This window comes from Homo sapiens, chromosome 6 (assembly GCF_000001405.40).
Source record: "Homo sapiens chromosome 6, GRCh38.p14 Primary Assembly".
Lineage (NCBI taxonomy): Eukaryota > Metazoa > Chordata > Mammalia > Primates > Hominidae > Homo > Homo sapiens.
In genome coordinates, this window is record NC_000006.12 from 117,697,349 (window position 1) to 117,715,221 (window position 17,873).

General features: G+C 36.3%; 1 protein-coding gene across 1 annotated transcript in view; it reads left to right on the forward strand.

Moving 5' to 3' along the window:
• NUS1 (NUS1 dehydrodolichyl diphosphate synthase subunit) overlaps positions 1–13,379 on the forward strand; it is a 35,259-nt gene extending 21,880 nt beyond the window's left edge. Inside the window, exons 4-5 of the mRNA NM_138459.5 lie at positions 6,257–6,356; positions 9,577–13,379. Of these exons, the coding sequence (NP_612468.1) occupies positions 6,257–6,356; positions 9,577–9,667 (191 nt within the window). The 3' untranslated portion in view covers positions 9,668–13,379. The remainder of the gene's footprint in view (positions 1–6,256; positions 6,357–9,576) is intronic.

Consider the following 17,873-nt stretch of genomic DNA (forward strand, 5'->3'; position numbering starts at 1 on the left):
CAAAAGACATACAGTGGGCGGATGGATAAAAAATAAGACCCAATGATCTGTTGCCTACCAGAAACACACTTCACCTATAAAGACACACAGACTGAAAATAAAGGGATGGAAAAAGATATTTTATGCCAACGGAAACCCAAAAAGAGCAGGAGTTACTATACTTATATCAGACAAAAGATATTTCAAGACAAAAACTCTAAGAAGAGACCAAGAAGTCCACTATCTAGTGATAAAGGGGTCATTTTAGCAAGAGGATATGACAGTTGTAAATACATATGCACCCAACATTGGAGAACCCAGATATATAAAGCCAATATTAATAGAGCTAAAGAAAGAGAGAGAGAGAGACCCCAATACAATAATAGCTGGAGACTTCAACACCCCACTTTCAACACTAGACAGATAGAGACAGAAAATCAACAAGAAACATTGAACTTAATCTGCACTGTAGACCAAATGGATCTAATAGATATTTACAAAACATTTTATCCAATGGCTGCAGAATATACATTCTCCTTGTCAGCACATGAAACATTCGCAAGAAGAGACCATATGTTGGGCCACAAAACAAGTCTAAAACATTCACAAACATTGAAATAATATCAAGCATCTTCTCTGACCACAATGGAATAAAACTAGAAATCAATAAGAGGAATTTTGGAAACTATACAAACACCTGGAAACTAATCAGTATGCTCCTGGATTACCAGTGGGTCAATGAAAAAATTAAGAAGGAAATTGAAAAATTTACTGAAACAAGTGGTAATAAAAATACAACATACCAAAACCTATGGGATGCAGCAAAGCAGTACTAACAGGAAAGTTTAAAAGATCAGAGCAGAAATGAATGAATTTGAAATGAAAAAGTCTATACAAAAGATAAAAAATTTGGTGGTGTTTTAGAAAAGATAAAATTGAGAAATCTTTAGTTAGACCAAGGAAAAAAACCAGAAGACCCAAATAAATAAAATCAGAGATGGAAAGGAGATACTGCAACTGATGCTACAGAAATTCAAAGGATCATTAGTGGCTGCTATGAGTAACTATATGCCAATAAATTGGAAAATCTAGAAGAAATAGATAAATTCCTAGACCTACAACCCACCAAGATTGAACCATGAAGAAATCCAAATCCTGAAGAGACCAATAATAAGTGATGAGGTTGAAGCTGAAGTAATGAAAAGTCTTAGAGCAGTGGAAAGCTCATGACTTGATGGCTTCATTGCTGGATTCTACCAAACATTTAAAGAAGAACTAATACCAATTCTACTCAAACTATTCTGCACAATAGAAAGGAGGGAATGCTTACAGATTCATTTTGTGAAGCTAGTATTACCATGTTACCCAAACCAGACAAAGACACATCAAAAAAAGAAAATTACAAGCCAGTACCACTGATAAATGTTCATGAAGAAATCCTCCACAAAATAATGGCAAACCAAATTCAACAATATATTAAAAAGACGATGACCAAGTGGGATTTATCCCAGGGATGCAAGGATGGTTGAACATACACAAATCAATGAATATGATATATTGACAGTATGAAAGATAAAAATCATGATCATTTCAATTGATACTGAAGAAGCATTTGATAAAATTAAACACTTGCATGATAAAAACCCTAAAAAATCTGGGTATAGAAGGAACACGCTACAACATAATAAAAGCCATATATGATGGACCCATAGCTACTATCTTTCTGAATGGGGAAAAACTGAAAGCCTTTCCTCCAATAACTGGAACACAAGGATGCCACTTTCACCACTGTTATTTAGCATAGCACTGGCGGTCCTAGCTAGAGCAATTAGACCAGAAAAAGAAGGAAAAGGCATCCAGATTGGAAAGGAAGAAGTCCTTCTTTGCAGATGATCTGATCTCAAATTTGGAAAGACCTAAAGATTCCACCGGACAACAATTAGAACAGATAAACACATTCAGTAAAGTTGCAGGATACAAAACCAATGTACAAAAATCAGGAGCATTTCTATATGTCAATAGTGAACAATCTGAAAAAGAAACCAAGAAAGTAATCACATTTATAATAGATACAAATAAAATTAAATATCTAGGAATTAACCAAAGAAGTGAAAGATCTCTACAATGAATACTATGAAACATTGATGAGAGAAATTAAGGAGGACAGCCAAAAAATGTAAGCCTATTTCCTGTTCATGGATTGGAAGAAGAATCAATATTGTTAAAACGTCCATAGTACCCAAAGCAATCTGCAGTCAATGCAAAATATCAATGCAGTCTATCAAAATATCAGTGACATTCTTCACAGAACTAGAAAAAACAATCCGAAAATTTATATGGAATCACAAAAAGACCCAGAATAGCCAAAGCTATTCTAAGCAAAAAGAACAAAACTGGAGGAATCACGTTACCTGACTTCCAGTTATACTACAGAGCTATACTTATAGTTACCAAAACAGCATGGTACTGGCATAAAAACAGACACAGAGAATAGACAATCTAGAGACAATCTAGAGACAAATGCATACATCTCCAGTGAACTCATTTTTTGACAAAGGTGCCCAGAACATACAATGGGAAAAACCAGTATCTTCAGTAAATGGTACAGGGAAAACTGGATATCCGCATGGAAAATAATGAAACTAGAACCCTATCTCTTGCCATATACAAAAATCAAATCAAAATGCATAAAAGACTTAAATCTAAGATCTCAAACTAAGCAACTACTACAGGAAAACACTGGGGAAGCTCTCTAGGACATTGAACTGGGCCAAACCCTACAAGCACAGGCAACCAGAGCAAAAATGAACAAATGAGATCACATCAAGTTAAAAAGCTCCTGCACAGCAAAGGAAACAATCAGCAAAGTGAAAAGACAACACAGAATGGGAGAAAATATTTGCAAACTACTCATCTGACAAGGGATTAATAACTAGAATACATAAGGAGCTTAAGCAAATCTACAGGAAAAAGATCTAATCTGATTTTTTAAATAGGCAAAAGATCTGAATAGATATTTCTCAAAAGAATACATACAGATAGCAAATAGGTATATGCAAAGATGCTCAATATCACTGATCATTGGAGAAATACAAATTAGACCTACAATAACATATTATTGTAAAATGGCTTTTTTCTAAACAGGTAATAACAAATGCTAACGAGGATGTGGAGAAAGGGAATCCTTGTACACTGTTGGTGGGAATGTAATTGGTACAACCAGTGTGGAGAACAGTTTGGAGGTTTCTCTAAAAACTAAACATTGAGCTACCACATGATCCAGTAATCCCACTGCTAGGTACATACCAAAAAGAAAAGAATATGAACTCCTATGTTTATTGCAGCACTGTTCACAATAGCCAAGATTTGGAAGCAACTGAAGTGTCCATCAGCAGATGAATCGATAAAGAAAATGTACATATGGACCACAGAGTAGTATTCAGCCATAAAAAGAACAAGATCCTGTCATTTGCAGCAACACGGATGAAACTGGAGGCCATTATGTTAAATGAAATAAGCCTGTCACAGAAAGACAAACATCACATGTTCTCACCTGTGGGAGCTAAAAATTAAAACAATTGAACTCATGGAGATAGAGAGTAGAGGATGGTTGCTAGAGGCTGGGAAAGATAATGGGGGAGTGAGCCAGCAGGGAAGTGAGGCTGGCTACTGTGTACAAAAAAAAAAATTGAATAAGATTTTTTTTTTTTTCAAAGTTGTTGTGTCTATTCAGGGTCCTTTGCATTTTTCTACAAATTTTGGGATTGGCTTTCTAATTTAAAAAAACTCTGCTGGGGTTTTGATATGGATTGAATTGAATCTATAGCTCAATTTGGGGAAAGTTGCCTTCTTAACAATATTGAGTCTTCCAGTTCATGATCATAGTATATTTCTCCATTTATTTGGGTTCTAATTTTCTTTTTTTTTTTTTTTTTGAGATGGAGTCTCGCTCTGTCGCCCAGGCTGGAGTGCAGTGGTGTGATCTCAGCTCACTGCAGACTCTGCCTCCCGGGTTTACGCCATTCTCCTGCCTCAGCCTCCCGAGTAGCTGGGACTACAGGCGCCCGCCACCGCGCCTGGCTAATTTTTTGCATTTTTAGTAGAGATGAGGTTTCACTGTGTTAGCCAGGATGGTCCCGATCTCCTGACCTCGTGATCCACCTGCCTCGGCCTCCCAAAGTGCTGGGATTACAGGCGTGAGCCACCACGCCCGGCCGGGTTCTAATTTTCTTAAATAATATTTTGCAGTTTCGGGGTATAGAATTTCTACTTCTTTTGTTAAATTTACTCCTAGGTATTCTTTTTGATGCTGTTGTTAATGGAATTATGTTCTTAATTTTCAGGTTGTTTGTTAATACTTAGAAATACACTTGTTTCTTAATATTGATTTTATATCCTGCAACCTTCCTAAGATACAAGTTCACCTAATCTAGTAGCTCTTTTTGTAGAGACTTAGGATTTTCTAAATACACGATCATGTTGTCTATAAATAAAGATTACTCCTGCTGTCTCTGCTCAGGTTTTTTTTTATTTAATTTTTTAGTCTGGCTTATGTCTACATAGCTTAGTGGTAAGCCAATGATTTCCACATTGGTTATGCTTAGATACCTTAAATTTGTAAGGCTTCCATGATTTCTGGTATTGGAAACTGAATTTAAAGTTGCCACCAGTTCTCAAGTTTCCTTGGCTTTTGATTTTCACTGGACTTTCTTCCTGCCCTGTCCCCTACCCTGCTTCCCCTCCTAGTATGTATGTTATTTCCCAGTCGGCCATGGATATGTGAGAGTTTATCTGAGCCCTTATTTCCTGGATCTCACTGTTAAATTTCTTGCCATTGTATTAACTGGGGCTACAACCTCAGGCAAGTAAAGCTGTGGGTTTTCCTATTTGTTCTCTTTTGAATTTCCCACCTTTAACTGTCAAACCATGGATTTTCATTGTTCCTTTTCCTTCTTGCCTACACCCTCCAGTTCCAGATTGAGTCCGTATCTTTTGGCAGCAAGTAGCAAATCATCTAATTTTTGCTGTCAGAGCTATACTGGTAAAATGTAAGTTCTCTCCAGTTGATTGGGGTGGGCATTGGGAGCAGTCCCAGGCAAGAAGGCCATAGACCTTTGCCATTCTTACTGAAAGCTCTAGCTTTTTTTTTGTTGTTTTCTTTAAGAATAATTGTCCGCCTTTGGTCAGTATCTAGTGTTCTTGAATGGTTGGTTTTGTCCAATTTAACATGTTTTTTATAGAGAAGATTTGCCACCCTCTTTACATCACTATTGGTTTGGAGTTCCTTCTTGTCATTTTTTATGGAAGATAATTTATTGCTTCTTAGGTAATACAGGAATGTGTGTTCCTCTGCTTGGCCCATTCACTCTACCAGTATGGACTTTTAGAAGGACTTTGTTATGGAAATAATTTTTTCAATAGTACTGCTGGACAGGACTGCCTGATCCAGTTTCCTTATTTGACAAATGAAGGAATTTAGCACTGGAGAGGTTGTATAACAGACAAGTTAGTGGCAGAATTGAGGATGTTAACAACTATTGGAACCTTAGTCTCTTGGATTATAGTATCTTTTTTCTGTACTCTTCAAATTTTATTTTTAAGCTATTGAAATACCCTTGTCCTTTTTTTCCCCAAGTCAGGTCTCATATGGAAACCAGTTCATGAAAGAGATAAAAATTGACCTTGTCCTTGTTGAGGCAGATGCTTGGTCTCCTTTTCCTCTCTGAGGCTGCTCTGGCTCTGGGGACCAAGGAAGACATTTGTGATGTATGGCTAGGAGTTGGTCTTTTTGGGTTCATAGCTGTAAAATGAGGTGCATGAGGGAAGGAAGGAGAATAGATATTTTAAAATTTCCTTTTCGTCTCTGAAGTTATTCAATTCTGTGGCCAGAATCAAGCAGTCACACCTTTAGAACTGTAGTAACTTTCCCAGGATTCCAAGAGAACACCTACATTGAGTCTTAAAAGATACATGTGATTTTGGGGGCACCTATTGGGTATAGTGTGGGAGGTGGGTTACCCTTTCTTATCAGGTAATCAATCAAGTTAAACAGACTTTTGAGAAAACTTCCACATTTGGAATGAGCATAGATATTAAAGTATGTATTACAGAGTTGGGGGTGGGGCATGGAGACATACAGATAAAACTTCTGAAGAAAACAGGTAGTTTAAAGAACCAATTTGATTAATACATTTTGCCCATGATCTGTGTGTTTCTGTGTGTGTGTGTGTGCACATGCAGTGCATGTTAAGTTCATGTGTATTTATTTATTTCCAAGGTTCAAATGGTTGTCCTGATCCTGATTTAGTATTGAAGTTCGGTCCTGTGGACAGCACATTAGGCTTTCTTCCCTGGCACATCAGATTGACTGAGATTGTGTAAGTAATTAAAAGCGTACTGACTTTGTTTAGATTCAGCAAGTGTTTCTTGAGTTCAGCACTGTACTAGATCTGGTGGGGATTTCCAAAGAATTATAATACTGGATCCTTTACCTCAGTTATTTCACAGTACCACTGGTAAAATAAAGTCATACATAAATGAGTTAGACACAAGAGAGTGTATAGTTGTGCAGATGTTTGGTATTGCCACTGATTACCTTAGGAGATCAGGAGTGAGAGATAACTGTAAAGGGTGTGGCTTGATCCGCAGATACATAAAATGGGTAGTTTTCTTATTTAGAGAAAAGGCGAGAAGGGGGGAAAAAGAAAACCTGGGGTGTGTTTTAAAGAAATAAGGAACTAGCCACACCAGAGCAGACAGTGTTAGGCAGTAGTATGAGATGAAATCAAATAGTTCAGAGGTGTCAAGGCTCAGAAATCTTTAAATGCCAGCATAGGAATGTGTGTAGTGGTAGGCAGGCAATAGGAAACGTGTTGAGCCTGTGTATTATGTGGGAATGGTGATTTTGGAAGATTTGTTTAGCAGCTTATGCACTAGAGTGGATTGAATTTGGGAAGGGATGAGATTAAAAAGACAAGTGAAGAGGCCATAACTATAATTTAAGGGAGAATACATTGAAGAGAATGAAATTGCTTATTTAGAACAGTTTAGGCAAACTTTTTTTGTAAAGGGCCAGATAGTAAATATTTTAGGCTTTTCAGGCCGTACAGTCACTTGCAACTGCTCCTCTCTATTGCATCTATGCAACTCTGCTGCTATAGCTAAACAACCATGGATGATATGTAAACAAGCATTGTGACCGTGTTCTGATAAAACTTTGTTTACAAAAACAAGTATCAGGCTCCTGGGCTGTATTTGCTGACCCCTAATTTAGAATAAAGGAGAGACATAGTAGCCTTAAAATATATGTAAATGCTGGGTCTTGGAGAATACTACAAATTCTCTCTCTCATGACAGGTATTTACCATGTATAATTGCAGGCATAGCACTTTACTAATTGCGATAAAATTAGAGATGAAATGACTCCTAAGTTTTTAAGCTTAAGTGACTAAGTGATTATGATATTATTGAGAGGAAACCAGAAAGTGAAGGGAATATTCATTTTTGAAGGGAAGATGCAGATGATTTTGAGGCCATAGTCTATTTGGATGGATACACTTAGTGTAGAACAGATAAAGATGTAGAATTGATGCTTGAGTGAGAAGTCAAGGCTAAAGATACATGTTTGGGGATCATCATAACCTGGGAAGTAGTTGAACCTGTGAGAATATAGAGTATCTCTCCAAGATGTATGAAGGGGTCTTTTAAGCTTGTGGGCAGGAGGGACAAAGTATGAAAAAGAGAAGAGAACGTGTAGCATGTTAGAGTTGGAAAGGACTCTAAATCATCTGGTCCCACCTTCTCATTTTATAGATAAGGAAAATAGGGAAGAGAGACATTGTTCAAGCTTGTCACAAAGTGAATTAGAACCCAGATCTCCAGACTCAGAGTTTCTTTATGGTGGGAGTATGTTTCTCTTACCTGGTTTTCTCCAAGGGTTTTCAAGTCATTTCAGGTTGTCTCCAAGTATGGCAGCAGTGATGCTGTGTACAGTTGGGAGTGGTTTGGAGGGAAGAACAGAAGGATTTTGGTTTGAATCTTGACTATACAGCTCTATAACTTGACTTTGGCAAGTTATTTAAACTCTCTATATTTGTACAAAGGGCATGTTAATGTGGAGTTGAGAATTTAAATCTGATAATGGACAAGATATGAAGCACGTAACAGGCTCTTCCTTTGACCTATGTACATGTCTATGATAGCTATATCACATTATACTGAGGTTTGCTTTGTATTTGTGTACCCTCTACGAGACTGAGCACTGTGATGGCAGGGAAAATGTTAATCATAATACAGAGAAGGGAAGGGTGGGGTTCTGACAGAACAGACTGAGAAATAGCAACAGAGCTTCTGAGGCATTGAGGAGTAGTGGCACTATATTGAAGAGTCGTAGGAGATGAGGTTGATTGAAGGGGTAAGATGAGGAAGACTTAGGGAAGTTGAGAGTTTGAGGACATTTGAAGCAAGCTTTAGCAAGAATAATGCATTAAATTTGTTCTTTGAGCATATTATTTCAGAGGTGTGAATAAGACTTAAGGTTGATAGCAGAGATTATTAAGAGATGATGAGGAATTAGAAGTGGATGACTTATTGCAGAATTTCTGGCAGTCTGAGGAAGGATAAAGAAAAGTATAGCTAAAGACAGGCAGGAGTCCTTTCAAGGTAGGTTTGTTCACTCTTTTTTTGTGGTGCATGTGACTGTAGGACTCTGACTGTGACTCTTCTATTCTGACCAGGTGTTTGACCCTGATACTATTTGGAATTCCCACATTATAAAGCTACATAAATTACAGATGTTTTTCATGTTACTTATTTAAAATTAATAGTTACTTCTAATACATAAAAGGGAACCCTCTGATTGTGTATTCAGTCTATCTTTAAAGTGCTTATTTTCACACTGTAATTGCCCTTGAGTAATTGGAAATGGTGGAGGTAAGTGTTGATTTCTAGGTTGCTCACAACATGGCTACAATATTTCATCATGTTTGGATGCTGTGTGGCTCTGCCCAACATTAAGCATGGCTTTCCTAAACTAAGTAATATTGGCTTTACTCTGACCAAGGAGAAATTCTTTAATGGATTTAAATGAGATCCTTTATACATAGATCTCTAGCTTTGCATTAATCTGAGCTTACGCTTTAACAAGTTATGAATCTCTCATTACTAGTTGCTTTTCTTGTGGAAAAAGAGGCATATTAATTTTTTAGTTGATGATGACATTGTGTGTCCTTGTCATCTCATTGTCCACAATGAGCTGAACAATCTTAGTAGAATTGTTTGGCATATTCTGCTTATAATTTACCCTCAGAGCAGAGGGAATAGCTATCTTCAATGAACACTCGTCAATAAACAGTGAGTGCCACTACCCCTCGGTGCCTCAGAGGCTCTCTGCTATTTCCCAGTCAGTTCTGTCAGGGCCCCACCCTTTCAGTCTACATATTATGATTAAGACATTTTCCGTGCCTGTCATGGTGCTGTCTGGTGGAGGATAATTTGGTGTATTCTATTCTTAACTTCTTTTTGGTCCTTATCTTCTGGTTCCCCCCTACATTACAGTGTATATCTAATTGCTTTTCTCCCCCCGTGTTTTCTTTTCAGCTCTTTGCCTTCCCACCTAAACATCAGTTATGAGGACTTTTTCTCTGCCCTTCGTCAATATGCAGCCTGTGAACAGCGTCTGGGAAAGTAGTGGTCATTGGTTGCATAATTTGATTTGAGGCTTGTGGAGGAAAGGAACCAAGTGACTCTGATGTTTACAAAGCACCTATGAAACCCTGTACACACCTAGTTCATAATCCTCATAATTTATCAACAAACACAAAAAAGTGTCTTACTTGAGAGTGAGTGTGTGTGTGTGCGTGTGCACGTGCACACATGTGCACGTTTGTATGTATGGAAATAAACTTATAAATGGGGACGTATTGGAGAAGGAAATACATAGACCTACAACTTTGAGCAAATAGCAGTGATGTTTTAGGAACTGAAATGTCACACTTAAAGTCTTCAGCCCAGCTACTTCCCTATTTTTGTGGGGAGAAGAGGGCCTGATTAGAACTGTTCTGGTTGTGTTTGGCGGGAGGGGAATAATTTTTGTTCAGTCCTTCTTAGTGACCAAACTTTAATTTTTAAGAATAATATATTGACTTACTGAACTGAAGCATTCTGAGTTGAAAGGAGCTCCAGAGGAGTGGAGTTCTGTGTTGCTCACATGTTAAAATCTTGCTCACCTTCAGAGCAGAGGGAATACCTATCTTCAGATATCCGTCCATTTTCATCTCTTAATTGTAGTCAAAAGTATGACTTGAGAGTGTTGCTCTGGTATTCTGGGTTCTGAAGTCTGGTATTCTGGTATTCTGGGTTCAAAAGTATGACTTGAGAGTGTTGCTCTGGTATTCTGAGAGTTGCTCTGTATTCTGGGTTCTGAAGATTATTTGAAAAATAACTCCTACTACATTGAAATGCAGACTTAAAAATTTAAACATTGGATTAGGCAGTCAAAAAAACCAAGCAAGCATAAAAGGTCAATAAGTTGTAATCTTGATAGTAAAGGTGGAAAACTTATTATAAATGGAAAGAAAGTTTTATTTCCTTTTTTGTTTGATGGGCAGTATGCCATATTATACCCAAAGTTCTTTTAAAAAATATTTCCATCAACCATTTTTATTTAAAATAAACATTTGAGGGAAGTTACCAAGGCAGCTTTTTTCCTCAAAAGTAACCTGTTCCTCTTTGGAATAGCACATTTTAGGGGCATGGTTAATACCTGAGATTTTTACTCAGTAAATCCTGATGGTTACTGTGTGTAAAATATCTTTAAGTAGGATTGAAGGCCTCTGTGGGGGAATAAAATATTACCAAAGTCTATAAAAATAAATTTTACATGTTCTCTTTTATGACAGAGAGCAGCACTGGTTCTGTTATTTTTAAAATGAATAATTGATTTCTTGATAGGTGTTTAATATTTCTTCCCTCACTGCTGATTCTTAGATAGAAACCATTCTTTATATTTGATAGACTGCTTTCAGAAAACCCTTATCAACAAGTGTACAATACTTATCTAAAACTATACATTTAGAATGGAGCAGTTTAATACTAGATCTCAGAAGTTTTGAAAAATAGCAAAGAAGACTGGATTTGGAAAGCATGGTCTACAATTGGTTGTTAAATTCTGAAGCTATGAAGAATAAATGTTTCAACTTTGGATTATGAAACCCCATTTATGATTTTTTAAATACACTTGAAATAAAAATGATTAAACTAAATTTTGGTCCAGTGACATTACTTTGCACTGCATAATCCATTATACGTTGTACGACTTTTTTTTTTTGTTTTAATTTATTACTGAGAGTTTTGTGTGAAGCTACAGCATATCTAACCAGAGAATTTCTGATTCCTTATACTGTGATTATATTATATTGAGGCATTTGTAGTGCAGCTGAAGACTGAATTTATGCCTTTTGTAAACATGATAGGTATAAATGTCTTATAAACATTCTGGAGTATGTATAGCTTTAATGAATGAAATTTAATGGACCTGATTAAAATGAAGGGATTTAATCGTTGTTAAAGTTAAGTTAGTCAAATAAATTACCTACTGGAATATAGCCCAAGCCAGTAAAGGTTTAATATTTGCATTTTCGTGCTTTTATTTTCTCCTTCCATTCATAAGTATATACTTGAAAGTACATCTGTAGCCTATGATTTGAGTCTCTTGAAGTTCTAGGAAGAGGCAAACTACAAACTACTAGGATTCTGATTTCAGATGTAGTCATTCCAGAACCTTCTCTTTATGAGTTCACCTGCTAGTACAATCTCCACAACTTGAATGGCATTGGTTGTTCTGTAATTCCTGCCAAAAGCATCACAAGTTGTACATCATCAAGGCTCCCTTTGCACTCCCAAGAAGAACTGGTAATTTTAAACAAAAGTATGTGTCTTTATTTGTATTGGAAAATACTGTCTTTAAATTGTTTCTTGTTGACACTCCCCACAATGGAAAAATTACCGAATTAAACCTGTTTTATGGATGGCAGCTTGGAGCATAGCAAGAAGTTGGAGGATTTGAATTCCATTCCCAGTTCTCATTGTGTTTTGTTTCTTAAAACTATAATAATCGGTTACTGTTATAAAGTTTAAAAGGTGGTTTTAATGTGAATAGCAAATTCTGGTATATCGTGACTAACGCTTAAGAATGCCTGTCTTTGAGAGGAAGGTGTTATAATATTAATGAACAGTGCCAAATACACTGTGCATATCTGCAATTTAATCTTTGAATGTATGTTACTGGATTAGCTCCCTCCTCCTGTGTGATGGTACCATGCATAGAGTCAATCAAATCCTTGTGATGTTTTGTATGGACTTTGACAATATGTAAATAATGTGTAAAGCCAGTTTTTATGATTAAGGAATCAAATTTATTGAATTTTATTATTGAAAGTTGAAACTTAACATGTATGAACAAAAACCAATAAAAGAATATACTCTTTTCATTGACTATAGTATTATGTGAATGCTACATTTGTTCTGAACACTTAGGGGCTGCAAAAATGTAATAAGAAATGCATATGACTAGATAGCAATAGTGTTTTTTTTAGATGGTATGCTCTTGATTGAAATATATTCTCACTTTTACCAGGTTAAACATTTGGAATCTTATAATGTTACTTGCTTTTTGATAGATAATAGTGAAATAAATTCAGCTTTGCCATTGCTGGAGTTGTCAAAATTCCACAGTAATTAAAATTTGAATTTTTACCGAATATGAAATTTCCAAATTAAAAACGTATATGTGTACTCTTTTAAAAAGGAATTTGATAGTTCTTGTCAAATGAGAAAATTTAAAGGTAAGAGTTATGGTTTGTCTTATGCTGCATAGACTATTCACCTCCTAACTTGAAGGTCTAATCATAAGACAATTGTTTTTTTGTGCATAGTTTTCATCTAAAATTAAGTTTACCAAAGGCAAATAACTGCTTACTAGGAACTTCCTTTAGCAAAAATTACTATAAAGTTCAGGACAGTTTGAAATAAAACCCAGGAAACAAGATTAATGTGAGCAGTTCTCCAAGATCCTAACTGGTGGGACATAAACTATGATGCAATGGATAGGAAAAGGTAGTGCAAAAAGAATTTCTTAAGGTTTAAAAAATACACTTTTCATTATAGGAAAAAGAAGATTCAGAGAAACAAAGGAATGTAACCTTATTGATTACATTTTTGGTGATCACCGAGAATTTTTTGTACTATATTTTAAAAAATGTATTCTACTGTAACAAGTTAATAAAGAGATTTTTTAAAAAACTATAAACTAGAAATTGAGAGTCTTGCATTCTCTTTTGTATTTGATTATTGTGTCTGGATATAAATTACAATAGCACATGAAAATAAAATGTTTTAAAAAATTATAGTCCACATTCAGTTATTCTTAATATTTAATGTTGGCCCAAATTCTTCAAATAATTTTATGCTCATCTCTCCCTCATCTAGTGATTCAAGGACTGTTAAGTGAATTTTAGCATGACGTATCCAGATGATTGCAACAAATAAAATGTACTCTGAGGTCAAACTATTAGCAATATCTGCTATTGACTGTTCATAGTCCCCTTCATTAGTATTAGTAATTTAAGTTGCTGTTACAAGGACAAGAAAAACATCTGGCTTGGAAAAGGCAATCCTGGAAAAAAAGAAAAATTCAGAATATGGATAAATGCTAACAGCATAGTTCTGTCCTTGTATAGAGTAATGTTTCCATTCCGATAAAGATTTATTTCAATTGCTATATCTTATGGATTTGGTTCTATGAGTGCTTTATTTTAATAAATGTGTATTTTTCAGTGTTAATTTATCAGTAACAGCTATACTTAATAAGTGCCTTAAATTTCTTTCTTCTTTTTTTTAGAGATGAGATCTCACTGTATTGCCCAGGCTAGGCTTGAATTCGGTCTCAAGCGATCGTCCCACTTCAGCTTCATGAGTAGCTGGGCTGACAGGTTGTGTGCCACCATGCCAGGCAAATTTTTTATTTTACGTGAAATAGAAGTAGATATAGGTAATGATAATAGTAAGCAACTGTTATCACCATGTATTTTACTTAGATTTCAGACAATTAGAAAATAGGACATTCAGAAAAATGTGGAAGCTACTTACCTGGGGATGTTTGACATGGCATTCATTTTTCTAGTGCAGTGGTTCTCACCTGGAGTGATTTTGCCCCCCAGTGGACATTTGACAACTGGAGACATTTTTGTCACAACTCAGGAGGTATACTAGTGGTATCAAGTGGGATGAGGCCAAGGATGCTGCTAAACATGCTGCAATACACAGGACAGCCCTTGCATCAAAGAATTAGCCTCAAATGTCAGTAGTGCCAAGTCTCAGAATCTTTGGTCTAGTGTGATTTCTATAATTTTGTCACTTAATTTGTGGGAAGGTGGGGTGGTACTGGATGTTGCCTAAAATTTATTCTATAGGTTAATTTTTTAAAACATCAGATTTATTTAGAATTCATTCTAGATCCTAAATTATATGTGCATATTTTAATTGTATGAAATTATATATTAACATTTGCCCACTCATTAATTATATTCATTATATTCACATTTATCTTTGACATTTGACTACCAGTTTTCCAAAGTCTGTTGGTTTGTTATCTTAAGTTTATTTGAAAGAAAATGTGTTCTTTGACAGATAGTAATGTTTTATCCATATACAAAGTTATGAGAAATCTCATGCTTCAGATAACCCATTGTATAAACATTAAATTAGCAGTTTCTCCCATTCATTCTGTAGGTAATTGTGATTTCCACAGTTTAATGAGACAGGGTCTCACTCTGTCACCCAGGCTGGAGTGCAGTGGTGCAATCTCTGACCCCCAGGCTCCCACCTCAGCCTCCTGAGTAGCTGGGACCACAGGTGCACATTATCGGGGGAACCCGCCCCTGATAATTCTTCGTGGGTTCTTTTCTATTTTCCCTAAGTGCTGGCTGGTCTGAGAAATAAAGGGAAAGAGTACAAAAGAGAGAAATTTTAAAGCTGGGTGTCCAGGAGAGACATCACATGTCGACAGGTTCTGTGATGCCCCCCAAGCCGCAAAACCAGCAAGTTTTTATTAGTGATTTTCAAAAGGGGAGGGAGTGTACGAATAGGGTGTGGGTCACAGAGGTTACCATGCTTCACAAGGTAATAAAATATCACAAGGCAAATAGAGGCAGGGCGAGATCACAGGACTAGGGTGAAATTAAAATTGCTAATGAAGTTTTGGGCACCCATTGTCATTGATAACATCTTATCAGGAGACAGGGTTTGAGAGTAGACAACCGATCTGACCAAAATTTATTAGGCGGGAATTTCCTCATCCTAATAAGCCTGGATACGCTATGGGAGACTGGGGCTTATTTCATCCCTTATCTACAACTGTAAAAGACATGTCCCTAGAGTGGCCATTTTAGAGGCCTATCCGTAGGAACGCATTCTCTTTCTCAGGGATGTTCCTTGCTGAGAAAAAGAATTCAGCGATATTTCTCCTATTTGCTTTTGAAAGAAGAGAAATATGGCTCTGTTCCGCCTGGCTCTCAGGCAGCCAGACCTAATGGTTATCTCCCTTGTTCCCTGAACATGGCTGTTATCCTGTTCTTTTTTCAAGGTGCCCAGATTTCATATTGTTTAAACAATTTGTGCAGTTAATGCAATCACCACAGGGTCCTGAGGTGACATACACCCTCAGTTTACGAAGATGACAGGATTAAGAGATTAAAGACAGGCACAGGAAATCACAAGGGTATTGATTGGGGAAGTGATAAATGTCCGTGAAATCTTCACAATTTATGTTCAGAGATTGCAGTAAAGATAGGCATAAGAAATTATAAAATATTAATTTGGGGAACTAATAAATGTCCATGAAATCTTCACAACTTATGTTCTTCTGCCATGGCTTCAGCCGGTCCCTCCATTCGGGGTCCCTGACTTCCCGCAAGACAACACCATGCCTGGCTTTTTTTTTTTTTTTTTTTGTGGTTTTGGAAGAGACAGGGTCTCGCCATGTTGCCCAGGCTGGTCTCAAACTCTTGAGCTCAAGCAATCTGCCTGCCTCAGCTTCCCAAAGTGTTGGGATTACTAGGCGTGAGTCACTGCGCCAGGCCAAAAAAATGATCTTTAAAATGTGTGTTTGTAACACAACTATGGCTTGTTTTTGAGGTCACATCTCCAAGAACAGACTAAATCACTGTTAAATTTCTTTACCTATTGTTTTTAAATAATTCATCTTGTGGTCTTTTTTTAGCTTTCTGAAAGCACAACATTGAGGTGGTTTCAACCTTCTGTGATTTCCACAAATAAGTAATTAGAGTGTTTTTTATAAAGGAATTTTGCTTGCCCTGGAGATCAATGACTTTTCTAGGGGATAATAAGAGGGAAATAAACCTGCTATTGTTCAGGTACATATGAGATGTAAATGTATATGAGAAACTAGTCCTCATAACTGTCATTGACTGGAGTGTGCAGGGCACACCAAATGTAAAGAATCCAGGAGATTAATAGGAAAGTACAGAAAATCTCCAGGCAAATGATTTCATTAAATATTAATTTATGAGTTACTTGGAAGCTGAAAGCTATCTATACATGAGTATGCAGAATATCAAATTGGTTGCAAATCCAAACTCTATCAGATGTACTGTAAGGTATCAGATGCCTATTAGATGTTAAGACCAGCTACAATGCTCATAGCATATCAGTTGGTGATGCCTTTAATTATTTTAAAGGAAATAATCAGTTTCCCTACTGCCTACTCTTCTGAGCACTGGAAGAAAAAAAGCAAAGTTAACAAAATGAGCCTGTGTGCTTCAGAATTTGGACTTTTGTCAATTAAAAGGAGAAATAAGTATTACACATAAAACAGCACTACTTAGTTTCTAAACTGGTGATTATGTCCAAGAATTCTCTATTTTAAAAAAATCTAATGTCCAAAAAGATGAACTTAGCTCTTGGTAGTTAAGCATGCTGCAAGGAGGCCTTCTCTAACTCTTGTCAATGTCATTTTTTCCTACCCCCAAATTCCCTGCCCTGTGTGAAGAAAAAAAAAAGTTTATTCCTTTTACTCCTTATCACAAGTAATAAGTAAGTTCACTCCTTATCACAAGCAAGCCTCACATTGTACCTCTGATACCATTTCTTCCTCTTTTCAGGATTTTTTTTTCCCTTCCAGTCTCTGTGCTATATTCTTCCCCTCAGCTACAGGTATTTTAGGTTTTTAACCTTTCTAATTCTTCGAGTCATGGCATCTCTCCTTTTCCTGCCACTGTTAAACGTCTTGAAAGCCTTTACCTATCTCCTTGTTACCTCAAAATTCCTGATCCTCTTACCCTGCTCCCATATTACTTATCACTTTCTAACATATATTTTATTTACTTATTAAGCTTAATTTTTAATAGCCTGCCTCTTACTAGAATGTGAGCTCAAAGTCAGGGCAGGAATTAAAAAAAAATGGATTGAATTGACACATAAAACTTAGGTATTTGTATTGAATACAACATGATGTTTTGATACATGTGTACATGTAGAATGGCAAATTGAGCTAACTAATGTGCATTAACTCACTTTTTTTGTGATAAGAACATTTATTATCTATTCTTAGTGATTTTCAAGATGACAATACATTCTTATGAACTATAGTCACCATGTTGTACGATAGATCTCATAAACCTATTTGTCCTGTTTAACTGAAATTTTGTATTCTTTGACCAACAGCTCCCTAATTGCCTCCACCCACTTCCCCACACCCAGCCCCCGATAACTACCGTTCTACTCTCTACTTCTTATGAGTTCAACTTTTTTAGATTCGACATATAAGTGAGATCATTTGGGATTTGTCTTTCTTTGCTTGGCTGGTTTCATTTAACATG